General features: G+C 50.5%; 3 annotated features.

The window, feature by feature from the left end:
* Positions 4,097-4,615: an enhancer, noted in NCBI's record as "H3K4me1 hESC enhancer chr16:49388576-49389094 (GRCh37/hg19 assembly coordinates)". NCBI's record gives its function as "activates a minimal SCP1, AML or CMV promoter by ChIP-STARR-seq in primed H9 embryonic stem cells {active_cell/tissue: H9 hESC(primed)}" and the evidence as "EXISTENCE:reporter gene assay evidence [ECO:0000049][PMID:30033119]".
* Positions 4,616-5,133: an enhancer, noted in NCBI's record as "H3K4me1 hESC enhancer chr16:49389095-49389612 (GRCh37/hg19 assembly coordinates)". NCBI's record gives its function as "activates a minimal SCP1, AML or CMV promoter by ChIP-STARR-seq in primed H9 embryonic stem cells {active_cell/tissue: H9 hESC(primed)}" and the evidence as "EXISTENCE:reporter gene assay evidence [ECO:0000049][PMID:30033119]".
* Positions 6,250-7,178: an enhancer, noted in NCBI's record as "H3K4me1 hESC enhancer chr16:49390729-49391657 (GRCh37/hg19 assembly coordinates)". NCBI's record gives its function as "activates a minimal SCP1, AML or CMV promoter by ChIP-STARR-seq in primed H9 embryonic stem cells {active_cell/tissue: H9 hESC(primed)}" and the evidence as "EXISTENCE:reporter gene assay evidence [ECO:0000049][PMID:30033119]".

A 14,521-nucleotide genomic window follows, 5' to 3' on the forward strand; every position in this document is an offset into this window, starting at 1 on the left:
TTTGTCACGGCAGCTCCAACAGATTCAGATGCTCTCCCTCCTCCCTCTCATTCCTTCCCTCCTCCGACTCCCCAGCACCAGAGGTCCCGGACTTTCCCGTTGCAATTCCGCCATCTGCTGGTCGGTCTCAAGATAGCAGGCAAGGTCCGTGCCTCGGAGCCGGTGTCTCCTCTAGGGTAGCCCAAGGCAAGGGTGGCCCTTCCACAGCCAGCACCCCACCCCCCTCCCAACGCACACACTCATACACACAAGCACACATGCAAGAGCACAAATGCGCATACTCATACATGCACACAGGCGCACACACACACACAATGCACACATGCACGTTTACACACACACAGACACACACACGTGCACGCGCACACTCACACTCATACACATGCCCACACACATTTACACTCACACACACATGCACATTCTGGCATATGTGAACACACAATCACACTCGCACACAGACACATGCACATTCTCACACACACATTCACACATGCAAACACACTCATACATGTGCGCACAAACTAATATACATGCATTACACAAACACCTATCACCCACTCCACTCACATATCACACACACACATCCCCAGCCAAGGATGAGCCAAGCTGGCTTCTCACCACCCCCTGGTTTGCCCTCCGTATACATTTCCCCAGACATCTCAATTCCTGACGAATGGGCAAAACTTTTATTGAGCCACGCGCTTCTTAAAGTCAGGACCACGGCCAACTCCTCTCCTTATCAACCCTCATTGCCCGCCCCACTCAGTGCCTGGCACGCAGTAGGAGTGCACCAAGTGTTCAATGACTAAAGGAGGCAGTTCTCTTTGGGGGACTGAATTGGTTTTCAACTCTTTGGGGCTGTGAGCTCAGAAGCAGGCATCTTCCTCCTGGTTGGAGCTCAGGCTCACAGGCAGGTGTCCCCACACTTGAGCCCCTGCACACAGCCCCAGGCCACCTAAGGGGTAACTGACGAGAGCATCATCACCTGTCTCATTAGAATGGCCCCAAACCAATCTCTGCAAACCAACTCTGAGTGGGGACACACATCTCTTGCTTTGTCACTTGGCAAAGCAACTCAAAGGGAAGGAAGACACAGTGGCTGTCTCCACAGTTCAGCTGCCTGGGAGGTGCTGTTATCTGATGGGCTAATGAAGATGGATCTATCCAAGGGGAGAGGGAACCCCAGCTTCACTGTGCAACCTTGAACCTCCTCTGTGGCCCTAGTTTCTAAATCGGCCCAGTGAGGCTGGGGAAGATGAGGCTCCCAGGCCTGGCATACTCAGCGCAGGCTCACTTCAATCTCTGGAGGGAGGGCCAGGCTGAGGGTAAGGAGAAGATGGCCCACCTCAGGCTCAGCCTCAAAAGGGGAGTAATGACAGGATCATGCACAGCAAGCACTGCCCATCTTCCACTGCCTGTGCTCTGATATGGCTCAGTACAGTGACCACGGTTACTGATGTTGTCTTTATTTAAAATTTTGAGGCCAGGCACAGTGGCTTACGTCTGTAATGCCAGCATTTTGCGAGGCTGAGGCCAGCAGATCACTTGAGCCCAGGGGTTCAAGACGACCTTCCTGAGCAACATAATGAAATCACATTTCTACAAAAAAAAAAAAAATACAAAAATTAGCTGGGTGTGGTGGCACACACTTGTAGTCCCAGCTACTTGGGAGGCTGAGGCGGGAGAATCACTTGAACCTGGGAGGTTGAGGCTACAGTGAGCCACATTTGTGCCACTGCACTGTAGCCTGGGTGACAAAGCAATACCCTTTTTTAAAAAAAATGATATTTTATTCATTGTGGATTTTTTGCATAAATTTTGATTTTTTACAAAATATTACATCAATGAAAGTGAGTACTCAAACAGGTACACGTTCACCTATGTTCCTGGCAGTGTTATTCACAATAGCCGAGAGGTGTCAGCAACCTAAGTGCCCATGATCAGATGAAAGGATCAACAAAATGTGGTCTATCCACACAATGGAATAATAAGCAGCTTCAAAAGGAAGGACGTCCTGACTCAGGCTACAACACTGCTGGACAAATCCTGTATGATTCCACTGCTATGAGATACCTAAAGTCGTAAAATTCATAGCAACAGAAAGTAGAATGGTGGTTGCTGGGGAGGAGGGGGAATGCGGAGTTTTTGTTTAATGGGGGAGAGAAAGAGCTGGGAAGATGGGTGGTAGTGATGGCTGCAGAATGGAAATGCACTTACTGCCACTCAGCTGTTCACTTTAAAATGGTTACAATGGCTAATTTTATGTTATGTGTACTTTACCACAATAAAAAATGCTGCATGATTTCTTCATCTTGATTATTTATCTCCATTACTGAGGTTTTTTTTGGTACCCTCTTGAATTTTATGCATGAGTTGGGAGCTTCCTGTCTCGCCCATGTCCGGCCTTGAATTCCCCATATCGTCTTCATTTTACAGAGGATGGGGCTGAGCCTGAGGAATGTGAGAAGTTAAGAGGCCTGCCCAAGGCCATCTGGCAAACCAGAGGTGAACCAGGAATTCAAAAGCCAAGCTCCCAGCTGAGGGCTTAGTCCAGTACAGCTCCCCCTGCTGCCCACCCCCAAGAAGCTTCCAGGGAGCTCTGTCTACACCACCAACCTTTGCTGCTCCTAGAGGGGAGACTGACTCCACAGGATAGGGCCTCACTGGACCCAGAACTCCTAGAGTCCAGCTGCGCCCACCCCTTTAGAAGATAGGCTCCACATCGACCCCACAGAGAAAGTTCTGGGCAGATGTGGGGCTGCTGGGCAAATGGGGAAATCAAACTTGGCCAAGTCCAATTTTTGCATTCTCTGGCTGTGACAATGGCTGCAACTTGTGCCCCTTCATCCTTCTCTTTTCCTCCTTCACTAACAGAATCCACATTTTCTAGCTAGACACAGGCTGCTGGGAACAAAGCCCTCATTTCCTTGCTTCCTTTGCTGGCTGTGGCTGCCTGCGACCTTAGATCTGGCCAAAAACCCAGAGTCAAAGCATCATGTACAGCTTCAGAGAAGTGTCCTTATAAAGAGCAGTGCCCCCTTTCCTCTCCCTCCCTCATTCCTGCTGTCTGGGAAAGCAGGCATGATGGCCAGTGCACATACCGCCACATAGGAAGAAGCCATGAACTGAGGACAGTGGAGCCCAGGATAAAGGGGGCTTGGGCCAGCCCTGGCCCACCGATCTGCTCTCTTCTGTTTGAGTCTTGGGTCTCAGCAGGACACAAGGCCATATGCCCCGTAACAGCAGCCACCGTGGCTTCCGTTTCCACAGAGCAAGGCCTGTCTCTCACGTAGATAATTCTCTAGTCCCTGCTGGTCTTTCCTGGAACACTTCCCAGTGAATCACTTTCACACAAGTCCTCCCTGGGTGGATTTCTGGAAGCCCAACATAAAGACTTCCCTCCCCTTCCCAGCTGGTCTTTCATAGGCCACATAGTGTCCAGTATAGCTGAGGGCCAGCTCTGGATCACCTCACCCTTAAGTGAAGACAGAAACTTTTACCAAGAGTAAGTCACTGCCATGTGCACTTGGGCAAGCCTCCTGGCCTTGGTGGCTTTAAGTTTCTCACCTGTGAAATGCAGATAAAGCCAAATAAGAAAGCAGGCATGAACACGTTATGTAAAGTGTAGAGTCATGTCACAGACTGAATGTTTGTCCTCCCAAAAATCCATGTTGAAATCCTAACCCCATAATGCGATTAGGAAGTGGGGCCTGTGGGAGGGGATGAGGTCATGAGTGTGGAGCCCTTGTGAGTGGGATTAGTGTCCTTATAAAAAGAGACAAAGAGGCTGGGCGCGGTGGCTCATACTTGTAATCCTAGCACTTTGGGAGGCTAAGGCAGGTGGATCACAAAGTCAGGAGATCGAGACCATCCTTGCCAACATGGTGAAACCCTGTCTCTACTAAAAATACAAAAATTAACTGGTCGTGGTCACGTGCACCTGTAGTGCCACTACTCAGGAGGCTGAGGCAGGAGAATCACTTGAACCCAGGAGGAAAAGGTTGCAGTGAGCCGAGATCACGCCACTGCATTCCAGCCTGGGCGACAGAGCAAGACTTCATCTCAAAAAAAAAAAAACAGACCCAGAGAGCATTCATCCTCTCTCTGCCAGGTGAGGACACAGGGAGAAGATGGCCGTCTGCACCCCAGGAAGACAGCCCTTACCAGAACCGACCACACTGGAACACTGATCTCAGACTTCCAGCCTTCAGAGCTGTGAGAAATATGTTGTGTAAGCCACCTTGCCTGTGGCATTTTTGTTGCAGCAGCCCAAAGTGATTAAGACGAGGTACTTATTTGTATGATCCGGTGAGTGACCAATCTTTAAAACCAACAGCTCTCCACCAAATCAGTGATGGTCTCTGAGCCCAGGATGTGTATTTATTTCCAGCAATTCTGGCTGAGAGATCCATCCCTCAGACTCTTCTATAGGGAACGTGCCCTGAATGTCCTCTGTGCAGCACCAAGACTGTGGGGACCAGCTTGTCCAAGGTGCCGAGGACCTGCCTGCCCTCCACAGCCGTCATCACATTAGCCATTCCCCAGATGACCCCACACCCTCACCCATGGCCACCTGGCCTCTGCCTGCAGGCACCCTGCATGCCGCCAGTTCTGCTGCCTTCTCAGCCAGGTCTCCTCGCTGGGCGAGGAAGTGACAAGGTGCTGGGGCAGCTCCCAGAGCAGCCTCCTCAGCAGGAATGCAGGGAGAGGGTCCTGCCCCCAGGGTGAAGGGCTGGGAAGGAAGGAGAGGGAGGACACTGTGGGGAGTGGGGCTGACATGAGCAACTCCCTGCTAAGGTGTCCCCAAACCCACACACTTCACACTTTTCAAAGCACTCCCTGTCTACACAGTCTCCTTATCCCCAGTGAGGAGACAAGAGTTCAGAGACTTCAGAGGGCGTGCCAAGGTCACACAGCAGTGAGAGCGGTGGTGTCCCTCCTCGTCTTCTGATTGCAGGATACTGTGTCCGCCCACCTTCAACATTCCTCAGAATGTGGAAAATGGCCCAGATACTCAGGCCCTTGGTGGTAGATGTAGGAAGGACAAGAAAGGACACGTACCTGCTGACCATTGCCCTGCTGTGACCCAGCCCCTTAAAGAAGGGCCTGGACAGATGTAAAGGCAGAGGGAGGGCATCTTCCTGGGGCTCCGGGCCCCACAATGTGCCCCTCCCAGAAACCTGGACCTAGCTTAGTTGAGGGGATGCCTCAGTATCGACTTTCCTCTTCTGATGCTAGCACCCCAATCCTGATTTGGGGAACCATCCCTCCTCATGGGATACATTCTGAGTCCCTTGTCAAGGGTCCTGCCCTCCCCTGACAGAGGATTGTCCTGTGACCAGCAACCAAGCTGGTCAGCTATGTCCCCACCAAAATTCGAGCAGAGGGACACACAGATGCCACAGCCAGTGGAGGCAGATGACACATGGCTCTGCCCCCAGCTCGGGCTTCCCAAGACCCAGATTTCCACACTTTCCTGCTGCTCTGAGAGCTACTCCAGCTCCTTCCAACAAATGTGTTTGGTCCAAGTGAGTCAGGGCCAGTGGCTGCGGCTTGCAACCCCAGTGCCTGCCCAATGGCCCAGCCAGCCCCAGCAAAGAGAGACTTGGAGGAGTTCAGACCCAGCTGGCCACAGGCCCACAAGCCTTGTATAAACTTTTCCTGTTGGACCATGGGGAATTGGAGGGGGGTGGCGGGGGGGCAGCATTCATGACACTGAAGTCACAGCTATTCCCAATCATGTAGGGTGGCACTTAATCAGAATCAGGAACCAGGGAACTGGGTTAGAAGGCAGGACAGAGTGGGAAAGGGGCAGCCAGCTACCCAACCCGCACAGCTCCAGGGGTGCCAGCCCAGGGTCCTCCATGGAGACGCAGAGCCTGAGCTGCTCCCTGCAGCTCTGCCTGGAATGCAACATGGGGGCAGCTCCCACCTGCCTTTCAGGACCCCCAGCCCTCCCTGCCTCAAGGTCTCATGGCTCTCAGTCCCCACCTTCCTTCATCTGGAAGGAGCCCCTGGGACATTGGAGCCAAAATCACAGCTCAGGCTTATGGCCCTTCCTTTCCTTCCTGGGCAGAAGTGCCTCTCTGCTTTGCAAGCTAATAGCGTCTTTACTATTTCCCACATGCTTACTGTGTTGAAAACTTTATGTGGATTAATCCTCACCACCACCTGGGAGCTAGGTGTTATTATTAACCCAAATGTTGCAGGTAAGGAAACTGAGGAAGAGAGGTTAAAAATTGTGTCCATGGTCATACAGGAAGTAAGAGGCAGAGCCGTATGGTGCACTCTGGCAGCCTGGTTCTAGCACACCCTTAACCTTTGGACCGCACCGCCCTAAGATGAAGAGGGCTCTGTCCTCTCTTCCAACCCTGAACTCAACCCGAGACTCCACCCAGGACCTATGGCCAACTCCCTCCCTTCTTGCCACCTTCCTGACGTCTCATCAGGCTCAGCCTCTGCCTGCACAGTGGTCCCCAAATGCTGACAGCACCCCCTCCCTTCCTCTGCAGCCCCACCCTGCCCAGCCCTTGCAGTGATGGCCACCCCTTCCTCCTCCCACCAGGGTCCTCTTTCACTCTCTCTCCTGTAAGCTTTAAACAAGAGGCACAGCTGGGAATCTGCTAGGCAAACTGCTGGGACGCCTACACTGGGGCTCCCAAAGCCCCCTGCCGGGGCCGGCCGCCGGAAGGCAGACATTTGGAGCTTCTCAGCTGACTCCAGCAGAGAAGTCACCGCCTCATCACCGACTGCCACCATGCTGTGATTAGTTAATCACTAAGTGCGTGGGGCTTTTAATTAACTGCCAGCCCTGCACGGGCAGCTGTTCCACGAACCACATCTGATCATGGCGTCCCCAGTCCGGGCTGATGGAACAGTTCAATCGCGCAATTGACGCTTGGATATTTTGATGCTGCAGGGATGGCAGCTGCCACTTCTGCAGCCCTAATGGAAGCCACCAACCATAGGATAAATAAAATACCATAGGAAGGAGGAAGAGAGCAGATATGAGGTGGGGGGCCATCAGGTGCTTAGGGGAGAAGCAAACTCTGCCCAAGATATGTGAGTGTGTTACCAGCATAATGTTTATCTATTTATTAGAACTAAACTCGAACAAGTCTAAGGAATAAAGAAACCTAGAGGTGCCACATGACCAGAGAGTACAAGAATTCAGGCATGGCTGGATCCAGGAGTACAAATGAAATTACCAGAGCAGATGGGGCTTCAACTGTCAGAAGGGCTGTATTTGCAGGCTCTACAAAATCAACTGAAGCTCGGGAACATATTTGAGACACAGAGGAGACAGGATGTTGTCACGTCCCCCCCTCCATGGGCGCTGCCTTTGCTTCCCTCTGATGCGGTCCACTTCTGGACCTCGAAATAATTCTGTCCCTACTTCTGCCGTAGGCTTCTCACATTTAATTTAACCATTCAGCCACATGTCTGTGTTGTCCAAAAGACTAGAATTTCCCAACTTCAGCACTATGGGCAATTTTGGCTGAAAAATTTTTTGTCATAGAGGCTGCCCCGTGCCTGGCAGGGTGTTTAGCCGCATCCCTGGCTGGAGTGCACACCACAGCTCCCTTATTGCCTGTGTGACCAGAGACACATTTTTTAACTTCTCTTCCTCAATTACCTTACCTGCAAAATTTGGGTTAATCATAACACCTACCTCCTAGGGTGGTGGTGAGGATTAATCCACATAAAGATTTTGAACACAATAAGCATATGGGAACTATTAACAACACTATTAGCTTGCAAAGCAGAGAGACACTTCTTCACAGGGAAGAAAGGAAGGGCCATAAACGTGAGCTGTGACTTAGGCTCCCATATCTCAGGTGATCTTTCTAGGTGAAGAAAGCTGGGGACTGAAAGCCACAGAGCCTTGGGGTAGGGAGGGCCGGGGCAGCACGAAAAGACAGGTAGGAGCTCCCTCCAGGTCGCATTCTAAGCAGAGCTCCACAGGTGCCAGTAGCACCCACCAAACCAAAAATGTTTCCAGACATTGCTAACTGTCTGCTGGAGGTTGGAGGGGGCAAAATCACCCCCGAATGAGAGCTCCTGCAGGGCAGCGTCTATCTCTGGTGCAGGGCCTGGCACCCACGGGGTCTCAGTGATGCTTTGTGGGAACAGGTGAGAGGGAAGAGGTGAAATAAGTGCAGCCATGGAATACCAGGGGGAGCTGAACACGTGGGCTCACACGCTACAGAGGGAGACCCGTGTGATGCTATGTGTCCCATGCACTGAAAAGATGAATGCTTGTGCTGGGTCACTGAGAAACTCCTCTGGCACAGCAAAATCGCAGATTCGGAATTGGAGGCGAGTGGGTGCTAAGAAACTGAGCAGCAGCAGGGAAACTCAGACTCAGGGAGTGGAGGGGCTTGGGGGTGGGAACCCAGCCCCCCATGTTCTCTCTGCAGCTCCACACCACTGTTCACCTGCACCAAAACAATGGCGGCTGGCAATTTCATATGCCAGGTACTGCTGTAAGCACTTCACACCTGTGGCCCGATTTCAGAACTCTAAACAGTGATCTATGAGATTTGTCATATCGTTTTATCCCATTTTACAGAGGAGGAGAGGGAGGCAGAAAGGGTTTTATTGCTGTTGTTTCTGTACTTGTCAAAGATGCCCAGTGGCAGAGCTGGGATTCAAATCTTAGTGACTTGGCCCCAGAGTTCATGCACATGCCTGTTACACTCCATTAGCCCCTGTCAGAGGACAGAAAAGCTGGCCTCTTTTTTTGCAGGACTGCATAGACAAGATGCCTCTGGGGACAAGAACTGGCAAAACACCTATGTGAAGCTTTTCAAAGGAGCTGGCAGTTCCATCATGAGGGCCTTCCCCATTGGGCTAACTAGAAAGGGCTGTGGATTCGAGACCTGGGGAGTTGCTTCAATTCTCGACCCTCCACTGATTGGCTGTGGCACCATTGCTTCCCTTCCCGGGCTGCAGTCTCTTCAGCTATGCAATGAGGAAAAGAATTCCAGTTTCCTGAGAAGCAAGAGAAATGGGGACTCTGTTCCCTGCCACTGATGGGACCTCAGTCAGCAACTTCACCTCCTTGACACTTGATTTCTCCAGCTATCATGTGGGGATTATAATACCTCTTTTGCCAGTTCGTTGGGAGGATTAAATGAGAAAATACATAGAAACGTCTAGCATAGTGCCTGGTTGGCAGTGGGTGAGACCACAGCGCCCAAAAACCAGTATCAGCCTCGTATCACACCCCAGATGTTTCCTCCAGGGCCTGGCAGCCTTAATCCCAGCCCCAACCCTCACTCTCAACCTAACTCTCATATCCTAGGGTCAAACAACAAGAAAGCTGGGACACCTATGAGCAGGGGTCAGCTCAGCCTCCTCTCCCCACTTCTATGCACAAAGACTTCACAGCCAGGGCTTTTTTTTCAAGGAGAGAATTGCAAGGCTGGTTCCGCAGGATGGCTTCCTATAAAACAGAAAGGCAGCCTCCGGCATCCCTTCCTGCAGTGTGCACCGCCATAAGAGGCCACTCCCCTGAGGGCAGCGGAGGGTTGGGGGTTATTAGTACTTAAATTACAATGATTATAACCAGACTGGGACTTGTCAACCAGGCCACCAGTATGGAGCAGGACTAGCTTAAGGTGGCCAGACTAAACCACCCCCGCTTGATCAAGTTGCCCAGAATCTGGGGTCAGTCACCCTCTGTCTACCCACTGGGCCAGACTTCTAGCCTACCAGGCTGGGCTTTCTCTAGGAGACTGGTAAAAGAAGGAAATGAGCCCTGAGTTATCATCCTGGAGCAGGACAAACCCTCTGAGAGCCTATGCCCAGCCCCAAAGCACCTCCTCATGGATTCTTGCCTCCCTGCTCCAGCTGTGGTGATGATGACCTGCGGGAGGAGGAACCAGGGTGAGGACATTGCCTGGACTTTGCTGAAGTTGTTTCTGTGCTTATCCCCCTGCACTGGTCCCCCTGGTCTGGCCTTCCCAGGGCCTTCATTCTGTGCATTTCAGCATCACTCCCACCCTTGGTCATCATAGGCCCATGTGTTTGTCCATGTTCTGTATGAAGCACCTACTGTGTGCCTGGCACTTGGTAGAGACATCTCATTGGATGCCCACAGTTGCTCGGCATAGGGATTATTATTGACTTTATTTTACAGAACACAAAACTTAGACCAGAAAGGTTAAGCATCCTGCCTGAGGGCACACAGCTGGCACATGGTGGATTTGCCTACAGAGGCTGTGCTCTTAACTCTGATGCTCTGTCATCATGCCTTGAGTTTCTGCAACTTTGCAAAGCCCTCGGTTGTCTCACGAGCACCTCCACAAGAGAAGCAAGGGTGATGTCAATGCCATTTTGCAGATGAGGAAAATGAGGTCTATGAAAAACTGGCCTCCCTATAGTCATGAGATCAGGAGGCCCCAAGGAAAGGAACAGAGTCAGTGAATCCCCTGGTGCCCAGCCCTGCACTCTGCCCACTGCCCTGCCTAGCCTCTCTGTAAATCCCTTATCCCAAAGGCCTCCCTCTCCCTTCTAGTCCCCTTGTGGAATGCAAGAACAGGTGCACCAGAGAACTTTCCAGGTGTTCCCAACCCCTTAGCCTTTTCCTCTGTCCTGCAAGTGGCAAGCAGTGAAGTGTCAGGGTTTCACTAGCAATGAGACCTAGAAGGACCCTTAGCCTCAGTCAGCTCAGGTATGCACTGGAGATAAACCCCCCACGTAATGAGAGCCTAGAAGGAGATGGGGCTTGAGCTCAGAAAGGTGTGAGTTCAGCTGCGCCTCATAGTAACTGACAGCCTGGGTGAACATGTGTCTTGGAGCCTTGGGCTCCAAACCTATAAAATGGGGTAAGAATCTCTACTTCTCCAGATTAAAGATAGGGAGATACAACTTTGTCCTTGTAACAGTAAAGTGGGTGGGATTATTACCTAATCCAGGGGTCACAAACACAAATGTCTTCAAGGGACAAGCAGATTCCATAAATGGGTGAAGCTGGCCAGGTGGCATTATAGCAACAGGTAGCATCCCCACTGTTCAAGGGGGCCAGTGCTATCTAGGCCCAGTCATATCAGACTGTTTATTTACTTAAACAAATCAGAAATCTGAATGTGTGTGTGTGTGTGTGTGTGTGTGTGTGTGTGTAATTCCCTGATTTCTAAAACACTTTGCAGGTTGAATAAAATACATGTGTGAGCTAAATATCACTTTAATATGGTTTGGCTGTGTCCCCACCCAAATCTCAGCTTGAATTGTAATAATCCCCATGTGTCAAGGGTGGGGCCAGGTGGAGATAATTGAATTATGGGGGTGGTTTCCCCCGTACTATTCTCGTGGTAGTGACTAAGTCTCACAAGTTCTGATGTTTTTGCACGTGGGAGTTGCCCCCACCAGCTCTCTTGCCTGCCACCATCCATGTAAGACGTGACTTTGCTCCTCATTCATGTTCTGCCATGACTGTGAGACCTCCCCAGCTATGCGGAACTGTGAGTCAATTAAACCTCTTTCCTTTCTAAATTACCCAGTCTTGGGCATGTCTTCATAAGCAGCGTGAGAACAAACTAATACAACTTGCACCAGTTTGCAACCCCTAATCGAATCCTTTTCACTTCATAGCAGAAGGGCAAGACTAAAGAGGGAACATAGCAAGCCCAAGGTCATCCAGTGAATGGACACAGAGCCCAATAGGCCTCATAGAATATCCCTGGCTCCTGGATCAGCCTGATTTCCACAGTTCCACATTGCTATTTGCCTGGTCTTTAACATCACCCTCGCAGGCATCCAGCCCCAAGGCATGTGCCCCCTGGGAAGCCAGTAGTCTCCTCAAGGGCCCTGCAGAGCCAAGGAAGGACATTTCTAGGGCAAAAGAGACTGCAGGGCTCTGAATATGTAAATCACAGCACACTCCACAGCACATCCATCCTGCGGCCTAATTGAGACATTTGCTTGGAATGTCCTAGAAAATAGGGCAGATGTGGCATTCCAAGAGTCAGAGCCACTCGCCTGAGATGCCCTGCTGAGACAGGGGGACCAATGGCTTTTCTCTGGAACTTAGACCAGCCACAGGGAAGCCAGTTCTCACTAATAAGATTATATATTCTTTAGATGGTTTTTGTTTATTGCAATGATACTGGATATTAAAACAGCAGAAAGTAGGACAAAATAAAAACAAGACATCTGCCCCATCTCTTCAGGAATTGTGCAGCACCAAGGTGAAAAATCCTGTGGATTTCACTGCCATGAACACCCCAGGGCTGGAGATGTGTTCAGACCTTTCTCCACTTTCAAGGCCCTCTCATCCTTGAGGGATGACTGCTGCCTGAGCCCTGTTTCTCAGACTCTTCTCTTGTGGAACCCCACTGGACTGGGGGCCAGGAGAACTGGGTTCAAGTCCTGAGTGTTCTTATTCCCAGCTGAGTAGACTTGAATAAGTAGCCTCCCCATCTCTGTGCTTCAATTTCATCTGCAGTCACTTGGCCTGATGTGCCTCCTAGCTGTGGTGAGGGTTGAACGAGGCATAGATTGCAGATCGGCCTGAGCAGGATCACATGAGTTTTGTCCAAATAATAATAAAAAAAAATTAGCATGTCTTTTTTTTTTTTGCAACAAGTTCTCACCATTGCCCAGGCTGATGTGCAGTGTCACAATCATAGCTCACTATAACCTTGAACTCCTGGGTTCAGCCTCCTGCTTCAGCCTCCTGAGTAGCTGGGACTATCGGTGCACACCATCACACCCAGCTAATTTTTAATTTCTTGTATTTTTTTTTTGTAGCTATAAGGGTTTCATTATGTTGCCCAGGCTGGCCTCAAAACTCCTGGCCTCAAGCAATTCTCCCACCTCAGCCTCCCAAAGTGCTGCTACAATAGGCATGTGTCATCGCTCTCAGCCAACATTTCTTTTCAAATTTGTTCCTGTTACAGTTTGGACATTTGTCCCCGCCAAATCTCAGGTTGAAATGTGATTTCCAATGTTTCACCTGGTGAAAGGTGTTTGGGTCATGGGGGTGGATCCCTCACGAATGGTTTGGTGCCACCCCTGAGTTAATGAGTGTGTTCTCGCTCTATTAATTCACATGAGAGCTGGGTGTTTAAAAGAGCCTGACCCCTCCTCCTCTCTGACTCTCCTTCTCTCATCACGGGACACACTGGTTTCCCCTTCTCCTTCTACCATGAATACAAGCTTCCTGAGGACTTACCAGAAGCCAAGCAGATGCCAGTGCCATGCTTCTTGTACAGCCTGCAGAACTGTGAGCCAAATAAACCTCTTCATAAGTTACTCCACCTCAGGTATCCTTCATAACAACACAAAATGAACTAAGACAGTTTCCGACTAGTGTCACATATAAATCAAAATTTCTAGCTTCTCAAAAAAAAAATCAGAAGATCTAGCCACACTGGGCTCACCTTCCCACATGGCCACAACAACCTGACACCAAGTGACAGCCACCCTTTTAGGAAGGGCATGTAATTGACAGTTCACTCCACTCCACACACTCCCTACTGCCTTATACTCAGCCAGCTTCACTCCTGTATGTCACATGCCTGACACTTGAATTTGAGACCCATGGCCTAGCACAATAGATATGAAAAGTCTTCATATTGCCAACCTCCAGCATCTTGCACCCCTTTCCCATGATTCTTTTCTTAGTGTGGGCTGCCCATGTGCACTGTGCCCTCTTTACCCTTGGGAGGTGAGCACACGTAGTGTGTCTAGGAAGTTGTATGCATGCCCATCTGAGGCTTTTTTCCCTTTTCCTGTGGTGTGCCCCTGGAAGGTTATACTCCACCATTTTATCTCTTAATGCATGTGCCCAGGAAGTTGCTTCTCCCTGGTACCTGCATTCAGTTAACACTTTACTGCAACAGAGGTGGGCCATCAAGAAATGGCCTCTCCCTAGTGCTAGCTGCCAATTTATCACTTTTAGAGATGCAATGTGATGATTGCCAAACCATCACCCAACATCCCTAGTGCGTTGGGGAGAGTCTGCTCCTTCCCCACTCATGCCTGTCTAACTATGTCTAACAGTACCAGATGACCATCTGGGGCATGGTGGGCCTGGCCTTTGGTATCTTTTAAAATAACAAAGAAAGCCCAAGTACAGTGGCTCATGTACTCCCAGCACTTTGGGAGGCTGAGGTGGGTGGATCAGTGAATCACTTGAGGCCAGGAGTAAACAAATTAGCCGAGCATGGTAGCGCATGCTTGTAGACCCAGCTACTCAGGAGGCTGAGGTGGGAAGATCTCCTGAGCCCAGAAGTTCAAGGATGCAGTGAGTTATCATTGCACCACTGAATTCCAACCTGGGTGACCAGAGCAAGATTCTGTCTCTAAAAGATGAAAGAGAGCTAATACTTTGTATTTGCAAGAGTAGAATTCTGGTAACCCAATCCGCACCCCAGCCCCTGACAAGGCCTCCAGCTGCCTTCTGTGGAGACAGGGGCAAGGCTTCCAAAACATGTAGCTGCTGGTCTCTATTGCAGATTTGGGAAAGAGCAACCTCGGGTGAAGAAGCCTGAGAGTCACCCCCACGTCTTGT

The sequence above is a fragment of the Homo sapiens genome, chromosome 16, assembly GCF_000001405.40.
Source record: "Homo sapiens chromosome 16, GRCh38.p14 Primary Assembly".
NCBI lineage: Eukaryota > Metazoa > Chordata > Mammalia > Primates > Hominidae > Homo > Homo sapiens.